The sequence below is a fragment of the Homo sapiens genome, chromosome 1, assembly GCF_000001405.40.
Source record: "Homo sapiens chromosome 1, GRCh38.p14 Primary Assembly".
In the NCBI taxonomy this organism is placed as follows: domain Eukaryota; kingdom Metazoa; phylum Chordata; class Mammalia; order Primates; family Hominidae; genus Homo; species Homo sapiens.
Window position 1 is genome coordinate 188,416,001 of NC_000001.11, and position 27,315 is coordinate 188,443,315.

The window sequence follows — 27,315 nt, forward strand, 5'->3', positions numbered from 1 at the left end:
CTTAAAACCTAAAATTTTTTATATAAGCTTCTATAGTATCATTAGGTAGAAGGTATAGTGGCTTTACATCATACTTCCTTTTTAGCTTAATCCTATTAAATTGCAAGATATTTTTAATACATCAAGTGACTGGCTTTTGAGAATATTCTCACTGCTTTCACACTAATGCATTGCTGCATAAACTATTGTCTGGTCTGTTTGATCAGCTGTTCCAAAGCCTAATCATGTCATTGCCTACTTCCCACTGCCTATACCTCATTATCTACATTAATTTTAGATTAGTTTGGTAAAACTAAACTGTACATATGTCACTATTCAGATTTTTTGTGCATTATTTTAGCACATTGAAATTTCTTAGAACAGTTTTTTACAGCTTATCACAATCTCATTCCAGCTTCCAAATATGTCTCTCCCTGTTTTCCAGTATTAATTCAATCATTAGGCAAATTCCACCATTTATATTTTTTATGCAAAACATAACTCATATATAGCTTTCATTTTGAAAATAAACTTTGTCTGCACTAGAATATTAATTTAGAAAACTGTAAAAATCATAATGTACATCTCAATCAATTTTCATAATCTGAATCTGTTTATTTTAATCAGCACCAAGAATAAGAAACAGAACCTGAGCAGCACTCCAGAAGCCCCCTTTAAGACTCCTGCCAATCACTAAGCAGACACTCTCTCTCCAGGGTAACCAGGATCCAGACTGCTAAAAGCCTGTTTGAACATCACACTGGAATTACATTGTATATAATTTTTACATCTCTCTACTTTCCCTCAAAATTATCTTCATGAGATTCATTTGTGTTGTTGCTTATAGCCGCATTTTTATTTTTTCATGCTGTCAGGTTTGAATTCTCAGATCTTTATTATTGCTTTAAATATAAAATATTTTAAATGCTGTGTTCCAGCCCCAATTCCATTACTATTCCATTACTAACCCCACTATTAGAATTCCTGAATGTTTCTTAAGGCCTAGTTCAAAAGCTTCTTCTTCCATGATACAGTCCCCATCACTCTTCTTCCTTTACCTCCGTTCCATCCATAGGATAGTCCTTAACGTGCTAAATAAGCATAACATTTATGGTACTTCTAATATTGCACTCTTTCTATTCTGCTTATGTTATTTTTTTCTTTCTCCTTCCTCTTGTTCCTCCTCCTCCTCTTCTTCTTTTTCTTCTTCTGTACTGTGTATTATAAATCATACACTTTTCTAGATTTCTAGACATTAGGAGACAGTGCTCTTGTTTATAATGTAGTTAATGATTGTACAGTAATATTTGTATTGCATCTTTTTCTACTTACTGGACTCCAGCCACATGATAAAAATGATATCATCATTAAAAGCAAGGAATATTTTATACTACACCAAAGGAATACAGACAAATTATAATATTAGCAGTTCCTCAGAAATTGTGAAATTCTATATAAATGAATCTCTATTGAGTTAACATTGCCTTATGAACTTTCTCCTAGCCATTCTTTCCCTATTATAGGACAAAACAGCCCAAATAGCCTGTGTAAACATCTTTATCATGTAATTGATACAAGATACCCTCCCACCACCTAAAATTCAGTTCAGATGTCATGACCATGTTACACACATCAAAAAAATAAAGATATTTATTAGTCACATAATGAGGCTTTCTGGATGGAGAAAGGCACGGTCTCAAACAGGTCAGAAAGCAACATGGGAGAGACGTGAAAGGAGACTGGCTGGGGGTGGAGGGGTGTGGTGATTGTGATTAGGAGGCAGGGCTGGAGGGACCATTCTTGCACACTTGCTGGGCTTACATAGTTTGAACTTCCTTTTGCTCTCAGTGGAACACGTCTAAATTTTCTTAGCAGCTTGCTCTGATGTGGGGCAGAAGGGGAAATTAAAGTTTTTGGGTCTTGAAATCTGTGAGTAGTCGAACTTTGTACAAAGTGAGGTCAGACTCTATTTCAGTAAACGTCATGATTTTATCATAAGATTTTAAGAACTCATTAACTTTTTTATACAACTACTCTTTCTATTTAATATCCAGAACAGCATAGTGGCCATATTGTTTACTGGAAGGATAAGAATAAATTTGGCTCTATGTTTCTGACGACTTAATCCTCTAACAATGTCAGGAATATCCGGCAAAATATTATAGACAATAGAAATTATTAATTCAGAGAAGTGGTATAAAAGGGTTAAGAGAAATATGCTGTTCAAGAACATTTGACATTTAGCACCTGTAACTGAGAGAGTAGGAAGTGTGCATGTGACAAAGAGAAAGAGACAGAAAAATTATAACATTATCTTGACTTTTGTAATCAAGTGTCATTATTCGAGCATCCAAAAAATAATTCCGAATATAGTTGTTTAAAGAAATAGTGAACAGTTAATACATTTAGGCCTTTATTTTCATGAATTAATACAAATCATATTTTGTTCTTTTGGCTAGAGGTGAAGGAACACAGTTTTTTGTTGTTGTTGTTGTTTTAAAACTGAGTCTCGCTCTGCCGCCCAGGCTGGAGTGCAGTGGAGTGATCTCTGCTCACTGCAAGCTCCGCCTCCCAGGTTCACACCATTCCCCTGCCTCAGCCTCCTAAGTAGCTGGGAATACAGGCGCCCGCCACAACGCTCGGCTAATTTTTTTTTTTTTTTTTTTTTTTTTTGGTATTTTTAGTAAATACGGGGTTTCACCGTGTTAGCCAGGATGGTCTCGATCTCCTGACCTCGCGATCCGCCCGCCTCGGCCTCTCAAAGTGCTGGGATTACAGGCATGCGCCACCGCGCCCAGCTGGAACACAATTTTTTTATTGCTATTTTTAAAATTTGTTTTTGTTTCTTTTTTTTCCTGTGTTCATCAGACCCTGGTGAGAAAGGATGGAAAAACAAAAAAGATACTGAAAATTCTATGCATGTTTTTCCCTTTTCTGGACTTGGTGATATATTCAAATTAGAAGTGTGTCAAGTAAATGTTTAACAAACACACTCCTCTCAAAAAATGTATAAAGGATCCAATTTTTTTGTATATACTTATTTCTCTAGTGTTAAGTACTTCCACCATGGTCAACTTCAAGCAACTAACAATATCTTTTTTTTTTTTTTTTTTTTTTTGACGGAGTCTCACTCTGTCGCCCCAACTGGAGGAGCGCAGTGGCACAATCTCAGCTTACTGCAACCTCGGCCTCTTGGGTTCAAGGGATTCTACTGCCTCAGCCTGCTGAGTAGCTGGGATTACAGGCACGTGCCACCGTGCCCGGCTAATTTTTGTATTTTTAGTAGAGAGAGGGTTTCGCTAGGTTGGCCAGGCTGGTCTCGAACTCCTGACCACGTGACTGCCTACCCCGGCCTCCCAAAGTGCTGGGATTACAGGCGTGAGCCACCTTGCCTGGCCCAACAATACCTTTTAAATTGTTAGGGATTAATACTTTGAGATGAAGGCGCTGACAAATATTTTGTGATATTCTGTTTTTACACAGTATTTCTTCTCTGCCTATGTACTCAGAGCTGTGAGACAGCTAATGCTCTCCAGAGGACTCAGGGAAGGTACCAGCAGGCAACAGCTGTGCAGTAATGGACAGCGTTCTCCTTGAGTAGAAGCCATATGAAAAGCCATCACGAGGATGGTGAAGCAGAAAAACAGGAGCTGGCTTCCTCCTGAGTGCCATAGAGATATAATCCTGCCGATTCACAGAAATACTTGAAGATATGCAAGCAAACATTTTTAGGGCCTGTGAGATGAAACTGAGGCTAAGACAATATTATTATAATATCAATTTGGAATCCATGTGCTGGTGAGGGGTTGTTTTAGAAACAAAAGCTACTGACATTACTATTGACTTTTTTTTTAAATGGAGTAGTTACTAAAATGTAGACAAAAATCAAACTTTAGATGGAGAATAGGAGTATAATCTTGATTACAATTAACAATACATGTTCTTCAACCATGCGTAATATTCATAGTACATAATGAAAATTATTAATTCTTTAAATGTGAAGATTTAATATGATATTTGATTAAAACAGGATGACATGTTTATCTTTTATAATTTATTCTATGTATGTAGTATGCTCATTATTTAAATAAAAGACAGGCAAATGTTATCAACTGCAGGGAAATTTATCTCTGTTGTGCCATGAACTGTGTCAATTAGGGAGGTATTTGGCTCTGAGAAATAGAAAAAAATAACAAACAGTGGCTGAAATAATTAATGAGTATATTTATATTTTACATGAAAAGATGTCTGTTGAGAAGCCTTTAATATCCAGTATATGAGCATTTTTCATCTTCCTCTACCACCAACCTTTGAGCTTTAAACTGAACTTTGGGGCTACAATATCACTGTTACACCATTTGATATTGAAATAGTGAGAGAAAAATAGCAACAACAAGAAGTTCCTCTCCAGTTTCTTTTTTTTTCTTCTATTTTCTCTGTTCTCTCCTCTCCTTTCCTCTTTCCTTCCCTTCCCCTCCCTTCCGTTCCTCTTTCCTTCCTCTCTTGTTCCTTCCTTCCTCCCTCCCTCACTCCCTTCCTTCCTTCCTTCCTCACTCCCTTCCTCCTTCTGTCTCTCCCTCCTTTCCTTTCCTCCCTCCCTCCCTCCCTCCCTTCCCCTTCCTCCTTCTTCCTTCCTTCCTCACTCCCTTCCTTCTTCCCTCTCTCCCTCCCTTCCTTTCCTACCTCCCTCTCTCCCTCCTTTCCTTTCCTGCATCCCTCCATTCTTTCCCCTCCCTCAGTCCCTCTCTTCCTTCCTTCCCTCCTTCCCTCTTTTCTTTTTTACTTTCATTTGGGAATGGGAAAACTTTCCCAAGAATTTCTGCCATCTCCAAATCTGTCACTATAAATCAATCCTAAGTTCAAAGGGAGGCTGGATGCTTTTTTGAGATGAAGTCTCACCCTGTCGCCCAGGCTGGAGTGCAGTGGTGGGATCTCGGCTCACTGCAACCTCCTCCTCCCGGGTTCAAGCGATTCTCCTGCCTCGGCCTCCCAAGGCACGTGCCTCCTACAGGCACACGCCACCACACCCAGCTAATTTTTGTATATATTTTTTAGTAGCGACGGGATTTCACCATATTGGCCAGGTTGGTCTCGAACTCCTGACCTTGTGATCCACCCGCCTCAGCCTCCCAAAGTGCTGGAATTAGAGGCGTGAGCCACCACTCCTGGCCTGCTTTCTAGCTTCTATAGCAGAACCAGCCAGGGAGAAGGAGGTTGAAATAGTTGTGGAGGGAGTCAGTTTGCAATATTTATTATGTGAATCTCTTATCAGTCATAGTTATATGCCCAAGTATTCGACTTCTATGTTTCATGCACAGAAACAAAGAAAAAGAAAGTAAAAATAGTGGGGCTGCAAATTGATTTAGCCAGGGCATTGTTGTCATCACCATCCAGCACTAAATGCTACAGATTGCTGTGCTTACACTTTGAAAGTTAGCTTGGATGATAACAGCCAGTGCTGCCACTGATGCCCAAGGATCACTGTCTTAATCCAATACATGAACGTTCTGTTAAAATAATTGATATGCAGGAAAAATATTGGGCAGCCAGACAAATATGGCAAATGCCCACTACAAATTCTTTTGAGAATCTCATGAAATTCTTGTACTCTGTCAACAGAAAAAAGCAAAAATACTCATTCTCAACTTTTGTTGTTGCTGTTGTTAAATATGGACATATAGAACTTACTCTTGCAATCTCAGAGCAGTAGATACATAAAAAGCACATTCTAAGATATAATTTTCTTAAACATTTAGTGAGTAAATAGTCTGAAGCAACTCTAGTGAAAATATCCTTTGTCCTCCTTTTCTCTGGCACCTTGAAGTTCTGGGAGGCATTCTTACTTTCTTTTCTCAAAAGATTTCTTAGATCAATTTGACTTCTTTTCCTGCCATTTTAGCACCTTAATCCCTCTATCCTTTACAGATTAAACTCTTTTCTATAAGCTCTCTTGATTCATTGACCCTCCCACAACGCTACTATTTCAGTAATATTCCTTTAAAAATTGTGGCTTATTCCTTTTATTCACAAGACAAAGAAGTGGAGAGGAGGCAAAGATGAAACACTGCAATGCTCTAGCAAGAGATCAGAGAGATAGCATTCATGGAATTTTAAAAATATATTGATCAGTGTGTGTACCTAGGTCAAGAGTTACTCAGTTATACGATAAGATAGTATTAAGATGTAAGCATATTATATTATGCAATATTTTTTGCATACAAAGTACTATGTATAATATGCATGTAAGATCTAAAACATATTAAAATTTACACCTATTAGCGTACCATTCAATTTAAACCTGGAATATTAATGATAAGTTTGCCAGCACCTGTATGTTCCTCGATTTCCCATTTTCTTGCCTCTAGTTAAATGTGGTTGTTTATCAAAAATTACCTTTCTATCGTAGTTTTATCATAAATTGCATAAGTTTTTATCAATGTATTTTTTATTGTGTTTGATTTTTAGCCTTTTACAAATGGCATCTTACTTTACTCATCTAGAATTGACCATTCTCACACAGCATTGCATATTTTAGGCTCAGTAACGTTGTTTTAGGTGACTGCTGTATATTCATACTTTCTGATGTATAATAATGCATTATGAATATCTATTCCATTAATACAGTTATTCATTATCCGACTAATAAAAATTTGTTTATATGTATTCATTATTCTAAGTAATACTTCTAAATACACTCTCACATATGCCTTCTGTATTTGCACAAAAATGTCTTTACATTTTTTTTTTTTTTTTGAGACAGAGTCTCGCTCTGTCGCCAGGCTGGTGTCCAGTGGCGCAATCACGACTCACTGCAACCTCCACCTCCTGGGTTCAAGTGATTCTCCTGCCTCAGCTTCCTGAGCAGATGGGACTATAGGGGTGTGCCACCATGCCAAGGTAATTTTTGTATTTTTAGTAGAGACGGGGTTTCACCATGTTGGCCAGGATGGTTTCGATCTCCTGACCTCATGATCTGCCTGCCTTGGTCTCCCAAAGTGCTGGGATTACAGGTGTGAACCACCATGCCTGGTCATGTCTTTAAAATTTATTAATGACTATGGATTATCTTGTGCATAGGGTTTACATGTTTCCAACTTTATAATACAAAAATATTTTCCAAATCGTTTTATCAATTATACATTCCTGACAACATGCATATGCTTTTATAATTTCTTATCTATACCAACATTTGTTAATAACAAATTTCTCAAATTTGCCAATCTGGAGAGAATAACATTGTATCCAAATGTTTCCAAAGTTTGCATATTTCCCAATACTTACAACATTTTAACAGCTTGCCATTTCTGTTTCCTCCTCAGTGCAGTATCAGTTTCTATCTTCTGACCACATTTTCCTGAGTTGAATTTCTATTACTGAAATACAGTTTTTGTATATTTTCTGTATTAGTCTTTCACTAGTATATTTTTCAAATATCTTCTTTCAAGTACTGTATTGTCTGTATATTACCAGTAGGAGTTACCTATTGCTAAACATTCAAAATTATTCACTTTTATCTTCTTGATGTATTTATTTGTGTATTTTTGCAGAAGTCCTTTTCATGAAATTGAGATGTAAATATATTCTCCTACAGTTTCTTCACCATATTTTAGCATTAAGCTCTTAATTTCTTGGGAATTGGTTTTTTTGTGTCATGTAAAGTGAGGATCCAAATTTATTTTTATTTCTTAAGGGATATCTAAGCAATTGTTACTGAAGAATCATTTTAGTTTTGTAATATTATCACTATTACATAGCAATATTCACTATATCTATTGGCCTATTTTTGGGATTTCCATAATGACCCATATATTACTGGATAAATTCATGAGGTGACGCCACAAAGATAAATACAATAGTTTTGTAATATATATTAATGTCTGGTAAGGTTAGCCATGTCAACATATTATTCTTCTTCAAACTATTTTGGGGTTTTGATTTTTTCATTAAAATTTTAGAACTGTTTTCAGGAATATTCACGCAGAGTTATCATTTTGCTTTGCACTGGATCTATAAAATAATTTGGGAAATAATTAACATATTTACAATATTGAGTTATCCCTGGTGAAACATTTGACTAACTCTTATTGATTGTATCAATGAAGACAGAATACACACCTTGCATACTGTAATGTTAATAGGGAGGTTAAAGTAAGTTTTAAAACTTGGTATGTTTTTGTTGTTTCTTTCTACTTTAAGCAAAATTTTTGCAAGAGAAATGTAAACAGTCTAAACCTATGCTGTCTGCAAATTGCAATAGATGTAGACAGAATTTTGCTAAAGCTGCTTATGGACTGCCAGCTACTTTGATGGAGAATTTGGAGATTTGAAGACTTTTGGCATCATGTCACAAGATACAGCAGTTATAAGCTGTGACCCTAAATTGTGACTTTTATGAAAAAATACATATTTGGCCCAAACTTATATATACATCTTCTTTTATGAGTTTCTATGCTGTGATGGGAGCCAGTGTGGAGAAAATCAGCACAGGAAGGAGATTAAGATCCTACCCAGCTGCTTGTTTCATATAGGCACAGTAAAATGAAGAGACAGAGAGAGATAAGTAGCGAACAGAGGATACAAGTATAGTACAAAGCTCTCAAACTTAAAAACTACATATAGACAAGATCTGTAGTAACTTGTATATAGAAGTGACCAGAAGCAAATAGACTATATGTGTGTACAATATACATATACATAGTCTCTCTCCATATATATATATAGATAGATAGAGTTGTACAATTGCAATTATACACATACTATATATATTAGGGATTATACATATATAATTACAATTTTATATATATATAGTTATATATAAGGAATAGTCTCTCTATATATAGTCTCTCTCCATATATGTATAGGTAGAGTTGTACAATTGCAATTATACACATACTATATGTATTAGGGATTATACATATACAATTACAATTATATATATAGTTATATATTTTTATATAGTTATATATTATATATAGTTCTATATTATATATAGTTCTATATTATATATATATATATATGGAATAGTCTCTCTCTATATATGAGATGAATTGTATTGCCAAGAGTTGTGTTGTCAAAATAAGAAAAGTTAAAATTGTTCAACTCTTAAATCACACATAAGAAATAGCCTAAAAATGTTGTATATTATCCACTGATGACTTATCTGTAGGATGCACAGCTATTAGTAATGGGGAAGTTTACAGGTATTACCTTTTCAAACTTTACTTCTTTTCATAATCTTTATTTTCTCTTTTAGGGTCCATAATTGACCAATTTTAAATATTCTCATTCTATCCCCATGCCGTATATTATTCACTGGCTCTTGTTATATTTAAATCTCTCTGTGCTTCACTTTAATTTGTCACTCAAATCTACCTTCTATTCACTATTAGTTTTTTAATATGTCTAATGGGCCCTACATTTTTGGTTTCAGGACCTTTAAAATTTGTGTGTGTGTGTGTGTGTGTGTGTGTGTGTGTGTGTATGTATGTAAAATACTATCTATATAGCTTCCAAATATCATAGGCCATGATATAATCTTTTGTTCCTTGCTCATTTTTTGTGATACCTTCTTTCTTGTCATATGTATTTGATAGATAGTAATTTTGTGTTCTATATTTATAATTGCAATATCTTTAATGTTTGAGGGACTAAACCTGAGGCTTTTTTGTAAATTTTAGCCTCTAGAAAACAGTAATGAGATGGTAATTTCCTTTCGGTGTTATCCTACATTTTGCTTTTGCTCATTGCCTTCACGTTCCTGCTCTTATTTTGCTGCCCTGGTTGCCATTGTATTTTATTTTTATTTTAGAGGTCGGCTAGAGAAGCCTACAACTCATTTAGCTATGCCTGTTGCAATCTATGTAGTGTACATTTGCATTTTAGTGTGATGACTCTTCAGAGAATCTGGTTCAACATACTTCCACCAATGGTAAATTGTTTCCTGCCGAATCATATTATAAGCCACACAAACTGATTCATCTAAATTTTTTCACATGAATTTACTTTAAAATTCAGATAGCATATGTACATGGAACACCTACTATGTTGCCATAAACTCTGCTTGATGTTAGTTACACAAAATTGATTTAAAAAGCTGTCCCAGAATTTTTTAATCTGTTATTCATTTAGTTATGCAAGATTCATTAGTTCTGGAGATTGAAAGTACAACAAAGTGACTATAGTTAACAATCTTTTATTGTACACTTGAAATTTACTAAGAGTGGTAGAGCTTCAGTGTTCTCACCTCAAAAAAAAGAAAGAAAAATAAAATGGTAACTATCTGAGGTGATTAATATATTAATTATTATGAATGTGGTCATTTCATAATGTATATGTATATCAATTATCCAATTGTACACCTTAAATATATACCAGTTTTAATTGTCAAACATACCTTAATAAAATTTTTAAAATGAAAGGTAACCCAGTATGTCTAAGATTTAAGGTTCACCTGGAATGACAAATATGAAATCAATTAACTAATATAATACAACATGAAATAATAAGGTAAAAGACAATGTTCAAATGGTGATTGTTTTAGTATTTTCTGTTATGACTAAAAACCTTGATATGTGAGGTTTAAACAAGACACAATAGAAGTACAAGTAAAATAGAACTTATATCTCCCTGTAGAAGTCAAGGAAGGCTTCACAGAAAGAAGTAGTACAGATTAAGGGAAAAATGAGAAAATTAATATAACTTGAAAAATCATTTAGAAATAAGTAGATATATCAGGTTTCACAGGAAAGAGAAGTCATGCACTGAAATATTTCTATTTTATTATGTCATCATTGGGCAATTAGAAAAGAATTTGAATTGCCCATAAATTACCAATAAATAGTGCCATGAATAATGGGAATCTAAAAGAGAGTTAGTGAGGCCCATAAAAGCAGATGAAAGCATCTGAAAGCAGATAATGAATTTGTAAGTGGTGGGATCAGGATGAAAATATGGGAACAGAAAATTCATAATTACATTTTAAATGGGGAAGTCATCTAGAAGGGTTTCTAGTTCAGAGTCTGGGCAAGTGAATAAAGAGGGGTATTATTGATCAAGAGGAAAAATGAAGGAGAAAGAGAAGCAGATATTTGAAGATTTTTTTTGTTCGGACTGAGTTGAAGGTGATCAACAATATTCAGGAGATGATATTTGCTGTTTAGTTGAATATAGAAAAATACTGTTTCACATAAAGTGAGAGAAAATGTGACGGACATTATTGATTTTTAAATTTTTTTTTGCATGGACTTTATTTGGAGACTTTTAAAAACACAAAGTGGAAATGTAGGAGAATCTTAGGCAATCTAATACTTATGGGCAGACAGACAGCATAAAAGAGCCTACGGAGAAAAATCACAACGATTTTTAACCTTCTTAGCCTTCGTACACTGTTTGCTCTACTGTGTATTTTCATACTCTGAAAATGACTAGATTAATGTTAGATAAATGTTGTTACCCAAAAGTGGATCTTTTCTCCGGTTGCCAAATTGTGTACATCTACAAAATTGCTGTGTTGAAGAAGATGTTTTATTATGCTGTTTTAAGAAATTGTTTCATTGTGCTGAAAATTAACCAAGTAGTCTTTTGAACATTAAAGCAAAGCCTATGCTCTGCCTCCAGATTTTGAAAAAGAGATAAGAATTTCTTAATGTTCTCAGTTTTGATTGCCACTCTGTTGATCATTACTTCCCCTCCTCTCCTGCTCCTCCTAATTGTGCTCTTACTGAAATGCCTCATAGTCATGAATACTATTAGGTTTGCAATCCTTGTATTTGATAAAAACCCAGTTGTATCTTCTCTTTCTCTTCTTTTTAGGACATGTGTTATACATAGTAAGCTTCTTGGTTCCCCAATTCTAAAGCCACATAATTTGTGGTCTCTTAGCAACAGACTAGAGAGTCTACAGATGCTTGATTTATATGCTTGATTTCTGAACAGTAGACAAACTGCGTATCATTCAAGGAATGTCTTAAACTATTTTCTGTAGTCGACAGGAGTATTTAAATGGCAAAATTAAAAGGTTTCATAGATATCACTTAGCTTATTTTTAGAAAATCTCAAAGCATTTAATTATTCTTGTTATAAAAATAGGTTAAGGGTTGAGACCACTCACCTCACCGAAAATTTTTAAATAAATGTAAAAAGTACAGACGAATGATTAAGACTTATTAGCAGGAGTGCAGGCTAAATATTACATGTAAGACAAAGATGAATAAAATTCTTTTAAAAGGAATAGTCCCTGATCATTAAGTAAATCATTAAGTAAATCTTTAGATTTCTGAATCTTTAGACTTAGAAATTCTAAATCTAAATCATCTTTAGAAAACTCTTTCATGTCTAAGAACTTCCCTGATTCATTTTAAATAACAGATGAACTTCCATTCACTTTAAGTAGAAATTCACTAACTAGAACATCTATCCAAACATATAACTCTAAACTCTGAACCTGACTTAACAATAACTATTATTTTTTTTTTCCACAAGATCAGGACTGCTCTAGTTTAGAAGCTTGTAATGGGAATAGGGGCTGTGAGTGGTTGGTGTATTTGTGTCCTGTGTTCACTACCACAAATCTGCAACCATTTAGTGGCTTAAAACAACACAAATTTATCGTCTTAAAGTTCTTGAGGCCTAAATCTAATGGTGCTAAAATCAAGTTGTCTGCAGGATGGTTCTTTCTGAAGGCTCTGAGGGGAGAATATATTTCTTCATGTCTTTCTGCTTTCCCTGGCCGCCTGTACTCCTTGGCTTGTAGCCATTACCTCCATATTCAAATTGCATCACTTCAATCTCCACATCAGTTATTACACCGCCCTCTCCTCTGATTTTGACTTCTACTGGGTCCCCTTATAAAGCCCATGGAGATTATATCTGGCCTACTCAGATAATGTGGGATAACCCCTCCTTCTTCTCAAGATCATTAATTTAAATACACTTGCAAAATCTCTTTTGCCATTTAAGGTCATATTTACAGGTTCCAGGGATTAGGACATGGACGTATATGGAGGACAATTACACAGGCTCATAGTTGATTTGGTCTGTATTTGTCTTCCTTGAATTTATATTCTCTCAAAGGAATTTTTATTTACAAGAATTTCCTTTTTATTTCTGTATATTTGTTTTTATATGTTTGATACCATGTAGGAGTCCTAGATCTGTGAAAATGGCTTTTATAGTCTTTGAAAATACTACATATAAACATTTTCCACTGCACTTTCAATTCTCACATATGGCTTATTTTGGTACCTAGTTTCATACAAATTTTAATATTTATTTAAAATAAAAACCTAGAGAAAGAGCATTTCAGGCACAGAGAAAAGTATGCTCCAAAACTATGCGGTGTGTATAAGCCTGATGGTTTGAGGGAAGATCAAGAAGTTTGTTGGGACTAGATTAGGGTTGCCAGATAAAAAACAAGACACCTAGTTATATTCGAATTCTACATTTAAATAAATGTTTTAGTCTAAGTATGCTCCAACTATTGCATAAGACATACTTACACTTTTAAAGGTTTTGTTTTGTTTTAAAATTAAATCAAGCTGCATGGTTATTCTTTTCCCCTTTTTTGATAAATCTGGAAACCCTAGCCTAGCTTATGGTTGATAACCATGTGTACAGTTGGTGATGTTACGTAAGAAGTCAGGATTACAACATGCATGGCCAGCAGGTCAAAAAAAAATGGTTGTATATTTTCTACATGCAATTCAAAACTATTGGAAGATTTTAAGCATTAAAATGATAGATATGATCTTATTTTTGTTCCAGGATGATCACATTGGTATCTTGGTGGTGGATAGATTATTATAGGATATGTTTGAAAGCAAGAAGTCAGTATAAGTAGCTGCCTGACGTCTTGTTGAGAGATGATGGTGACTTGGATCTAGGACCTGACGAAAAAGAGCAAAGGGTCATCAACAGGGAGACAAGAGCTCAATTGGGAGCAAGGTGGTGCTTCAGAAGATAATTGAATAACTTAGGTTCAAATAGGATAGATAGAAGATTGGGGAAAATTTCCTAAACATCAAAGCTGAATATGTTGAGCAGTGAGCAGAAACCTTTTATTCTGTAAAAGCAACCCTAGGGAAAGGGTAAGTTTCTTCTCTTTGTAAGGAAGTAGCAATAAGAAGGAAATAAAGTTTCGGTATCTGCAATATTTAATAGTCTGCAAAAGAGTTATAAGAGTGTTAGCATACTTCTTCAAGAAGATTCTATTTTTCACTTATTATAAATATGCCAGGGAACATATTATACTTTCCTAAATCATAAGCAAATTTCTAGAAACCAACTGTTTAAACTTTAGCACCATTTTACAATAGAAGTTTGGGTTTTTGCCTAATTTTTACTAGTTTTTTCTTTCCTTCAACAGATTTTAGCAGCAAATATGCTACTAATTTTTTAAAAATTATAATATTAGGTAGACATAATGTAAATTTAAAATATTGATACCTATGAAGAGTATTATTAGAGAAAACAAAAAATTAGCCTATCTTGGAGCTCATGCAGCATCTAATGTATTTACCACTTTTCATGTTTCTCCGAATGTAATTTCTTGCAATGTTGCCTGTTGTCAGTAATTAGAGCAGCAAATTCTCTTTTCCAACAAAGGTAGTCCTGCAGCATTTGTATTGTTACAAGTATTGCTGCATTGCTGGTAAATCAATAATTATTCATCAGCAAGAACAATTTCTTTCATTTTTCTTCTCGTCATGGTAATCTCCCTTTAGTTATTTTCTTCTGTCTAAATTACCAGAACATAAAGATTTTAGTATAAACTTCAGGAAAGACTTATGTTCATTAGATAATTTTTATAAATAGAATAATGTATATAAAAGATTTAGTAGCATTGGCTACGATTAATATTTTTAGAAAATCATTAGTTGGACACAAAATTAGCACACAAGATAGTTTTATTTCCACTCCATAAAGGAGTATGAATGGAGTGGAAATAAAAATTTAAAAATAAAATAAAATAAACAAATATTTTAAAATCACACGTATCTACTCACTAGATAATGTCACTTTGAAAAAGAGATATAGAAATCAGGTAATAGTGTTGGATATGCCATAAAACAAATGAATAATAACATAAACTGTAGTGCCTAGAACATTCACTTTTTTAAACAAAATCCAATTTAAAATCTTTGTCTTACACAGGCACAATGGCTCCTGCAGGTAATCCCAGAACTTTGGGAGGCCTAGGCAGGAGGATTGCTTGAATCCTTGAGTTCAAGACCAGCCTAGGCAACATAGAGAGACCCTATCTCTACAAAAATAAAAATTAAAAAAATTAGTCAGATATGGTGGCACATGTCTGTGGTCCCAGCTACTCAGGAGTCTGAGGTGAGAGGATTGCTTGAGCCAGGAGGTGGCAGCTGCAGTGAGCTCTGATTGTGCCACTATATTCCAGCCTAGGTGACAGAGCAAGACCCTGTCTCTAAAAAATTAAAAAATAATAAACAATAAAAAATTGCTCTTATTTTTTCAAAGGGTTAAGGTTACCTGGAGTTAGCAAATATGTTGCTTTATGCTTAATAACGACATTATAATAACATATGTCTCACATATTTCATTAGGATAGTAACTCCCCAGAGCAAGTTACTGTGTAAACAAAAAGAATTTCAAACTTCATAATCACTTTTAATAAGAATTGTCCTATTTTAAACTACTAACAGTACGTCAAGGTATCTGTTTTGTCAACATTATCTTTTGTCATTTAAAAAAAACAACACAACTCATCTTTGTGAATTTAATAATAAAATATCTCAGTAGGTTTTCAATATACATTTTGTAAATAATATTTTTGAGAATAATCAATTCTTACAATATTTAAATATACATATTTTCTTCAAAAATATGTTCTTTTTCTTAGAATACTTTATTGTGAGTAAATATATTATCAATTATTAATTTTTCTTTAATTTTAAAATCATGTATATCCTTTGACGATTATGTAGCATTCATTGAGAATATTTTAACAAGTTTCTTATTTGACCTTTTATTTTGTTTTATTTATTTGTGTTGGCTTGGACTTGTTTTGACATATTGTGTATGTTCAAATTGTCTACCTTTTATTTTGTAAAAATATCTGTGATTTGTGTTTTAAACATTTTTCCTCAGTTAAAAATTTAATTATTATTATTTTGTTGTTTTGTTTTCCCAATGACTTAATTTTTGATACTATCTCACTATTATGGCTTGAGTGCTTTACATATTCCTCTTGTATAAAAGAATTATAATGAATGCTTATATAATTTTACGTTCAAGTAATGTGTAACCAAACATTTCAAATGTTCAGATTAATATTAAAAATTAATTTTGTTTTAATACTTGAATTTTGTTACAGTTATTTAAGATAGTTAATGTGATTATAAAATATAATTATTGAATAAATAATATCAGATTCTCTACTATAATACTTATTTAAATCTCATTTATGTTGCCTGATTAATTAATGGAATTATTAAAAGCTGAAGTCAGCAAGTTAGAAAAAAAAACAGCATCCTTAATTTTTAAAAATGAGTTTTATGTTACATAATTTAAAGTCTTTCTGGTATCTAGCCAAGCATTCAACTGAGAAAAAGTGTGTGCTGCCGTCACATTTCTTGCCATCACATTCTTTATAAAGATCACACTGTGTCACTGTGACCAGAAGCCAAGATTTTTTTCTCCTACTTGATCTTATTTACACATCTGTTATTTATAATGATTGCCCAAATTAATTTCATGTTAAGCCATAATATAAAATGTTACACTCTATTTATTCAGAATCTATTCTTTGTGTTATCAGACTGTATTTAATCTCTCACAACTGAGTAGGTATTATTCTTATTTTACAGAGGACAAAAGTGACTCTCAGAAAATTTAATGAATTCAGCTGGTAAATAACATGATAAAATATCATTCTAGATCTTTACATCATGTACCTTTTGACTACCAGTTCACTAGAGCCTACGAATTTCATTGTATCAAGTGTTTAATATAAAGAAAGCCATCTAGATGTGACTATCACGTAAACAACGGACTCTATCCATTCTCACTGACCCTTAACAGTTTCAAAATCTCCCAAAATGATATGATTCTAACATATAATTTAAGCTCTTTAGATAGATTTAATTTCTAAATAATATTATCATAAAAAGATTTCCCTTTGTTATATATTCAACGGACATAATAAGAGAATTGGTGAGGAGGCAAGTTTAGCCTTCTGAGACTTGTTAATTGCTTATCAACCAAAAATACACTCATGTATAGCTAGAGCAATACACAGGATGATTTATTAAGATGTAAGGATTCAGGAGGAAAAGAATAATGAATTTGTCTCTTATATGGAATCAACATATTTTTATGTTATTGGCTAAAATAAAGTAATAAACACATCAATAGATTTCCATACATATTATTTAAGACTATGGGTAATTAATATCATTGAATTTTTAGCATAAGATATATTGATCAAAAGAAAGTGCAATTTTTCTGTATATATCCAATGTGCAAATGGAAAATAAGGATACTAAAAGTCCACTGACAAGAGATAGGCATATAGAGTTAATGAACTGTGGTCCCTACGATCCATCAATTGTCACATAGCTGCTATCTAGAGATAAAATCAATACAAGTGCTTTCAGATACACAGAACTGCTTCACTGAGAATGCTAACCTCAATATGTCATCACATAGGTATTTAAACATCATGCAAGATGTAGAAATGCTTCAAGTGGTTTTGAACTTGTAGAGTCTGACTAAAGATTTATATATTTTATAGATTCGTTTTCTACTAGCTCTAGTATACAATTTTGAAATGTATCAGTCCATCAGCTATTCTTCTCAGAATACTTGTGAATATATTGTAGCCAGAAATTTTACTATATGTTATATCAGCTAGTTAAATGAATGCCCTAACTTAAAGAAAATTTGAAAAAAATGTGTAACTTCCAGAGTACAGAGATAAGCTTCCAATCCAGTATCTACTGATAAATTATATGATTTTGAAATTTCCAATTAAAACATATTAAGACATTTCCTTTAAATAATGTGATTTTCTGCATCAATACTCCCAAAAAGCAACAATCTAAAAGTTACAGATGGGCTTAGAATAAATTTAAATTGAAATTTTAGTTCTAATCTTTTTTTTTTGGTTCAATGTGCTAGGAGTAAAGATTATTGTATAAATCTCACACAGAATTTCTAGGATAGCAAATGGGACTGCTTTTTGAAGAAACGGTCTTCTAAACATTAAATTGGACAGAGATAGCTTTATTTCAGTGTCCACTGGAATTTAGATATTCCACCAAAATTATATTTCACAAAATTCCACCAAGATTAATAGTAGGAAATAAAGATTTTTGTAGTTTATTCAAAGTTGGTTTTGTACCGAAAGAAAACAGAGGCTCAGAATGAAAAGAATTACACAATAGATGATTAAGGTAATGTGTCTATAATTTTTTATAACTAAAATTTTCTGTGTTTCCACATGTTATCTAAATATGTCATAATATTAATACATTCACTGTGGGTAAAGTTAGGAGCTGTATACAAAGGCTGTACCTCACAAACCCAATCAGTTCCCCTATTTAGCCAATTAAGCCTCAAATATATATTTTATTTGATCCTTATAGCTTAGCAAACTAGGTAATAAGGTAGTATTATCACTGTGCTATAGCATAAACAGAAGACTATAGAGGCAATCCCCAACCTTTTGGCACCAGGGACCAGTTTTGTGGAAGAGAATTTCTCCAGGGACAGCAGCGAGCAGGGGTTGGTTTCAGATGAAACTGTTCCACCTCAGATCATCAAGCATTAGATTCTTATAAGGAGTGGGCATCCTAGATCCCCTGCATGCACAGTTCACAGTAGAATTCATGCTCCTATGAGAATCTAATGCTGCCACTGATTTGACAGGAGGCAGAGCTCAGGCAGTAATGCTGGCTCCAGCCACTCACATCCTGCTGTCTGGCATGGTTCCTAAAAGATCAAGGACTTATAGTGGTCTGTGGCCCAGGGGTTGGGGACCCTTGAGCTAGAACGTTAATCTGATCAAATGAACACAATTAAATATTCAGAAAAGCATTATAACAAGAATCTCTAATTTTTTATCTTATTCTCATTTTATTTTGTTACAATGTCTACAAAGAGAATGCTAACTGGAAAACTTTGACGTATTTTTTTTTTCCAGGAGACTTGTTTTTTTTTTTTGTCCATGTGTCTAATGTAATGCAGGCAAAATACCTACAAATGAAGCATATCACTGCATATGTTTTTGTAAGTTGTATGACAGTGATTTATTTTTATATAAGTTGCAAGATTACGTAACTGGTTTCATGACTGGACATGATGTAGTTTGTAATATTAAAATTTGTAGAAGTAATCAATATTAAGAGACAAGATGTAGAAAACAGAAATGAGCTGATTTCATAATATGTATTAGTCTCACAAGTATATTCAAAAGTATTATGTTAATATAACATGTACCCCATAAATATATACACGTACTTATGTACCCATAAAAATTAAAAATAAAGAAAATTTAAAATAAAATACATTTAAAAATAAAGGATAAATGTGAGAGATGGTATTCAGTAAATACTAAAACTTAGAAAAGCATTATATTTAGAATTTTCCAAATGTAATAGAAATACAACTTTGTTTCAATGTTAAAAGGAAAATAACTTAGAATCTATAAATACTAATTTGTTTTCAAAAAACACTATGTTATGATTACATTCCCCTAGTGTTGGCATAATTACTTTATAAACGAAAACAGAAAAATATAACAAGAAAATTGAAAAGCTTTTAGTTGACACCTAATGCATAATGCCATTTGATAAATACATAGAATAAGCATATAAGAAATCAAAAAAGATGTCATGTTTTGAGTATTTTGTAAAAGTTATAATACTTTCTCCTCTTTGTATAATTTTTTTTGCCTTTAAAAAGTGCATTTTGGTTTCCAAAAATTTAAACTTGTAACAGAAACTGGTTTACACATATTTTTAACCATTTTACAAATGTCATGAAAGTATAATTTTAATTATTTCTATGCTTTCTTTTCCAGTGAAATTAAAATACAAAGGCAATTTTAAATGTCGCTTATCTTCAAAAAATCTAAATAACATACCATCATGTATGTTTGCTTTGGAATAAAATCTACTACTTACTAAAATTAGATAAAACTTTAATAAACATCACATATTTTTGGATATGTTATCTTGATTTTATTTCATGTTAGATTTAAATTCTTATGAAATTTTCTGAAAATAATTATAATATAAATGAGGGTGATATTGACATTCTTAAAACTTGTCAATTGTGCGTTGGCTCTTAAAACATCAGGCCAAAAGTGACACATACTCCTTATACTAACCTTTCCTTGGCCAGACAAGTGAATGTTAGACTTCTAGTTTCCCAGTCCAGATACAAAGAATCTGGAAGTTGTTACTCCCATTCTTATAAGAACAAAGCTGAAAAACTGAAAGCCAACAGTGCACTTCTTTTTTTTTTTTTTTGAGACGGAGTCTCGCTCTGTCGCCCAGGCTGGAGTGCAGTGGCGCACTCTCAGCTCACTGCAAGCTCCGCCTCCCGGGTTCACGCCATTCTCCTGCCTCAGCCTCCCGAGTAGCTGGGACTACAAGCGCCCGCCACCATGCCCGCCTAATTTTTTGTATTTTTAGTAGAGACAGGGTTTCACCATGTTAGCCAGGATGGTCTTGATCTCCTGACCTCGTGATCCGCCAGCCTCGGCCTCCCAAAGTGCTGGGATTACAGGCATGAGCCACCGCGCTCTGCCGTGCATCAGAAATTTAAAGTCAAAGGCCTCAAAAACCGGAACAGGCAGATGCAGAGCATCACAGCTTATCTTGAGCAGAAACAGCCACTGCAGCCAGAATCGGATATTTATAATAGAGAGTAACTGACTAATTGTTGGAAACTAGTATGGATTAGCTTGAGATATAAAAACTCCTGAAAGACCAGTCTTAGGAGAACTGCCACACTTTTTCCCTCCGTGAACCCCAGTAGGTTTGTATGGTGAAAATGGTATTAAAAATCTCTCCTGTTTCCAACGCAGAAAGGAGAAAAAGAAACACTTTGAAATATGCTCAGAGAATTCTGCTCTCCTTCACAAAGGTATGCTCCCAAGGAAAACGATTTCACTAGAGCCTAACCATAGGGGGATTTATCAGAGCCTAACCAACATGGGGAACGGGAAACATCCATCTCTTGCCCTACTAGCCTTCCTGTATTAATTAAGGGGGAGGAAAAAATCCCAGAAGCACTTGTCAAAGTCACAGCCCAGGGCACAGTTTTGCTAAAAGCCTTATACCCAAACTAATGATAGGGCATTTCTTCCACCCCTAACTTTTTGCCACATTAATGATAGGCTTCTGTATTGTAACTTAACTCAGCTGAAAAGAACTACAGGACTCATACCTTTTAAAAAATAATAATAAGTCCCTGGGGAAACCCAAGACAATGAGGGAGACAAGAACACCACAGAAATTTTAGCTTCTGACACCTACATCTACAGCAAACAGTGAACACAGCATAGCTCCACAAAGCCTCACACCGAAATCCTATTTACCTCAGTTTCTAAAGGTAACATTATTGATATTAAAAATTCATCGTAAGAATAAAGTGCATCCCTAGGAGCTGTCCCATGTGTATGTGTGTTTGTGATTGTCTCTATTATTTAAACAAATTAATAATCGTATAAATCAATGAAAGGGAATAGACTATTTAAAAAACTATACTATTCTATTTTTTGTTTTGTTACTTGCTAATAAATATACAACTTCGGCTATAGAGACAGTAGCTTGCAAGACTTGTTCATAACAGTTTCAAGTAATTTACATTTTTCTGAAAATATCTTGGTTAATCATGGATTGCATATGACCTTACTTTGTCTATCTTTAAGGATTTTTTTCTTAATCCAAGCAAGTTATTAGCCAGATAATATTTATATCTTATTATTTATTCCTCCCGTCAATTTTCTTGAAAGCATCCTAGAATCTCAGCACTTTCTCTTTTTACCAGGATCAAAAGCATAAACCCATGCTACCATTAAAGAGAAATGATAGCATAACAAAAATAAATTAATTGCATATAAAACTTCAAAAGACTAAATACACCACTTCAAAACATAACCAAATTGAGATTGAACCTTTAATGAACTAAATATATCTCCACTTTCTCCTTCAGAAGCCTTGTTATCTCTGTCTCAGTTTTCACTATGACACCATTTGTTACTCTCTTTTCTATCTCTTTCACTCTGATTTGCCCCTCTTCTTCTCTCATTATTCTTTATTTACCTGAACAAAATAGCACAACAAGAAACTATGTACTACAAAATATGTTGGTTTTATTCTACAAGTCTACACTAAACTATTAGTGTTTTTATAGGTAGGTAGCTTTATTTATTTAGTTGTTTGGAAGGAAACATAGTCAAGAAGTAGCTATTATGCTGTGAAGGGAGCAATAAGGAATATGTTTCATCTGGAAGAAAACATTATCATCAACTACCCTGACTAGGAAACTTCACAAAATTCAATCATAGATTTATAGTCTCTCAATTCTATTGAGAAAAACTCATTTGAGAGTAATCAAAATTATCTTTTGACCACAAAAAGTTTTAAAAAGTTTATAAATCATGCAAGTTAGAATTATTGGATCTTCAAGAAATTACATTAAATCAAGGTTACATATATTAAACATAAAGCATATCCATAATTTATTTATTACAAGCCATATATTTCTATTTGTTCACGTCAGTGAAATATAGATGAGGTGGTGAAATGAATTAGTTATGAATCACTGTATATTGAATGAATGCTAATGTTATAATTATTGATTTTCTATGACTTTTTTCTTCAAATTCTGGAGAAAATGTCCTTCAATTCAAGTTTAGCCTTGTTACATTATGTTATTTTCTGCGAATATATATTTGCATTATTAGGTGGTCTATTCTATTAGACTCTTTGCAAATATACTCTAAACACCTATTCTAACCTTTCGATCCGAAAGTCATTTTTTTCCTTTTTTAAAGAATACTTCATCAGTTTTCAAATCAAAAGTCCTAATACACAAAAACAAAAATCTTGTAATCATTAAGAAACCTCAATAAGCTGAGGAAAGACCAAAAGAAAGGTATTCCTAAAAGTGTCATGCTATTCATCTTATCTTTGGTGACATTTTGTTTCTGGCAGCGTTTGACTACTTTCAGACCAATTCTTCCTCTGAGACTGATTTTAAAATCTTGACAAAATGTAAATATCTTATGTATGAAGGAAAGCTACAAAGAGAATGTAAATTTCAGGGGCTGTAAACTTGTATTGGAGGAAAGTGCAGAGTGGCTATCAGGGATTTTGGGACCTCTTTTCCTTTTGAGGTGATTGCTGAATGAAAAACTGAGAGCGGTAGCAATAGACTGAGAAGCTGAGCAAAGATTTCTGCAGTCTCATGAGACTTTGAAAGCACGCTTTAAATGAAGACTTGTAAATTTTCCAAGTTATTGATTGGGACTCTAAGGGGTCCATACTGGGATGACAGATGAAGCATAATAGATCATAGACTCCCAAGGGCTAAAGCCAGGCTTCACATCATCTTGGTCCCCAACAGGGGACCTACCTCTGTTGGGGTAGCTGCCTACCCCAAGGAACCATAAATTTTCTCTGAAGAAAGATGACAACCACAGCCTCTAATTCTTTCTATTATATTTTTATAGACAAGATTCATCATTTAGTTAAAAAAAAGCACCATTTTTAAAACACAAAAGTTTAAAAAAATCAAAGTATTTTTAACAGTAATTTTCAGACATGGACTTTAAAATAACTATGACAAATAAATCCAAGCAGTTAAGAATCAACAAAGAAAATATTGGCAGATATTATAAAGGAGAAAGAAATGGGAATTCTTAAAAAAACTAATATTTTTAAAATCTGCAATAGGTTTAACAGCAGATAAAATGGAGATTATAAAATGAAAAAATATATTTAAAATATTCAGACTGAAGAATAGAGAGGCAAATTTATGGGAAGTATATAGGAGATTACATGAAATATATAAAACAAAATGAAAGAACCGAAGTATAATTACTTTTGCAGAAGAAACTATGTAGAATAGGACAGAATCCATCACTGAAGAGATAACAAGGACAAAATTCCCAAAATAGAGCATATAAATTAGGTCACATATGAAGCAGAATAAACATAAAGAATGCCACACCTAAGAGAAGAATTAAGCTATGTTTAGATTTAACTCTGCTATAGGTGTTTATATTTGTCCTGTTTTTTTCCTTTGTTTATTCTTTCTAGCTTTCTTGTGTTTCATTCACCTTTTGTATTTTAGTATTCAATTTCTCTCTATTTGCTTTTCAGTATAATTAATTTTAAAAAGATTTTAGGATTTTTAGGCTTTACAATACACACTTTTTTAAATCATAGAATTCTAGGTAGCTGTATTTTATACTATTTCACCTATAAAAGTTTTACAAAACTATATTTCCATTTAATTTCTACTTGTTATCTATATTATTGTTGCCCTTTATTTCACTTTTTTATATATTATCCATACTGTAATACAATTTTATTGTTTCTGTTTAAAGAAACTTAAAATGAAGTAAAACAGGCTGTTAATTATGGCTTCTTTGCTGTTTCTCATGCTCTTTATTCTTACATGTTCATTTCTATACTGAAATCCCCTTTCTGCTTATTCATTTGTACTCACTTTTTCAAGGAGTCAAGTAACTATTGCTTAAAGGGCCATAAAGTGAATATTTTAGGGTTGGAGATCATATGGTCTCTATCACAACTACTATACTCAAGCCTGCTGGTTTTTGGCAAATGCAGCACTAAACAATTTGTATATGATAGCTATTTTCCAGTAAAATTTTATAAAAATAATTAACCAGCGTGTAGGCCATAATTTGTCCATTCTAATATTTTCCATTATATCTTTGAGCATATTTGTAAATGCTGTTTTCATTTCTGATAATGGTGAGATCTCTGTCAAGTCTGGATTTATTTTTATTCACTGTTATATTCTCCCGCTTATGATAGACATATTCCTGCTTAGTCACATGTCTAATATATGTATTTATATTTTTTCTTTCCTTAAAAATTTTATGTTGGTCATTATAGATACTATGCTGTTGAAGATTGTTATTTTGTTGTCTTTCATTAAATAGTGTTAAATTTTGTTTTGAAGGCAGGCAATTTACTGGCAAATGAATTTGATATTCCAGCTTATATTTAAGTTTTGTTAGTAAGATGCTATATAGCCATTATTCTAGGGCTAGGACAGGGCTACTATGAAGGAAACTCTTTGGCCAACTTCAAGAAACTGTCTGGAATATTCAGGTTGGTTTCTTCTCTCTGGCTTGTGTATTCTTCTGTTTCTCAATATAATGTAACTTGTGGACTCTCTATTGAACTCCCAGATACCTAGTAATTGTTTTGTACTGAGGCTTGCAGAATTCACCACATGCATACATAACTCAATAGTCATCCAAAGAACAAAGTTTTCCTATGCAAATTTTAAAGCTATGGCTGTTTTGCCATAAATATTTCCAAAAATAGGTCACCAGACACTAAACCATAATTTACGGACCATATCTCCAGAGCATAAAACTATATGACTTAATATCCTCATCCTTCCTAAACTTGAGTTCAAATTTTGGTATTACTGTATATTAAAAACATTTCTTGGGGTAAGAGATTTAAGGTTTTCAAATGTAATTTTTCCAATACATACAGTAGCTTATTATAGAAGAACTTCATAAAATTGTTGAAAGAATTAAATTAGATAATTTATGTTGTATAGTCCCTTGCACTGAAAGATAGCAAAAATAAAAAATGTAACCGCTATTATTCCTATTATGTTAATTTTTTATTATACATTTACTGCTAAGTTGTCTTTTTTCTCTGACAGAAAAATATAATGCTAATTAACTTAGAAATGTCTTAGAACCTATATCAGAGGACACTGTGACTGAGAAAGACTTCCAAATATGCTCTGACGTTGAATAGCATGATTTTTTATATCCACATTTAAATAGGAACATTTTATTTAATGTCTCAAAATATTGCTTTTCTTGCTGTCTCAACTTCCTTTTGGCTTACTGTAAGTTTAACTTTAGAAACTTGGTTTCCTTTGTAAATTACAAAGTTAGTCTTTCTGCTTTAGCTTAGGATGACTATATTAAAATGATTAATATTGGAATGTCTTATGCAAACATAATTCTCTTTTTTTCCACTCACTCTAAATTTTATTGATCTACAATGACCAAAAAGTGAATACCCTTTATCACTCGCTTTGTAATATTTTACACTAGGATGGAAACAATATGAGTAACCTTCCATAATTATAAGCTTTTCAAACACTTACCAAGCTTAAATGGCTAATTAATTCCATAAAACATAACAATGTGTTTTACGACCCAAGGAACTTGCCACTGCCAGCTCTAACACTGAATAAAAGTTAATAATGATAGCAATATAGAACAATTCACATAATCAAGAGGTAACTCAGTCAAAACACACGTAAATTAGTATTGTAAATTTGTTCACATTAATAAAAACTTATTTTATTTAGGCAGACAACTTAATTCAAGTCTGTGCCTCTATGTCAAAATGATAGTCTCTCTTAAATATGAGTCCTAAATAATCCAGGAGTCGGGTCCTGAAAATGTTGAGATATTCTATGGTACTCTAATGTGAATAAAAATAACATTCACTTAAAATTAAGCAAAAGCACATGGTGGATTAACAGATCCTCAAAACATATATAAATTAGCATTGAGTTAAAGTAATTCTCAACCTGGATATCATTCTGTGTATATGTGAATATTCAGTTCCACTGAATATTTTAAATTCACATCTTCAGGATAAATTCTGGTCAGATAATTTAGATCTGACACATGTGAACTTAGTGTATTAGACAATTATATTTTCATTCGGTTATATACTTTAAGAAAATCATCTAATTATCTGTTTCTATGGCATCAACAAGTTTAATTAATCATTGACACAGAGTCACTCTCTTTGTCTCTATATATGTGTATACATATAATGTAGACATTTATGCTCATTATATATTATATAATTATGCATGTAATATATATTTATGGTTAGCATATATATATAATAGATATGATTCACATATCTATGTCCATCTTATACATGTGATCTACATATGTATATCTATTAGATATATAAAACTATATATTTAATATATATATACCTATCATATATATATAGAGAGAGAATTTAATAGATTTTGTAATATCATATGAAGTAAAGATAATTTAGATAAATTTCATTTAGTCCTGAGCAGTTCAGTCTTGGAAGAAAC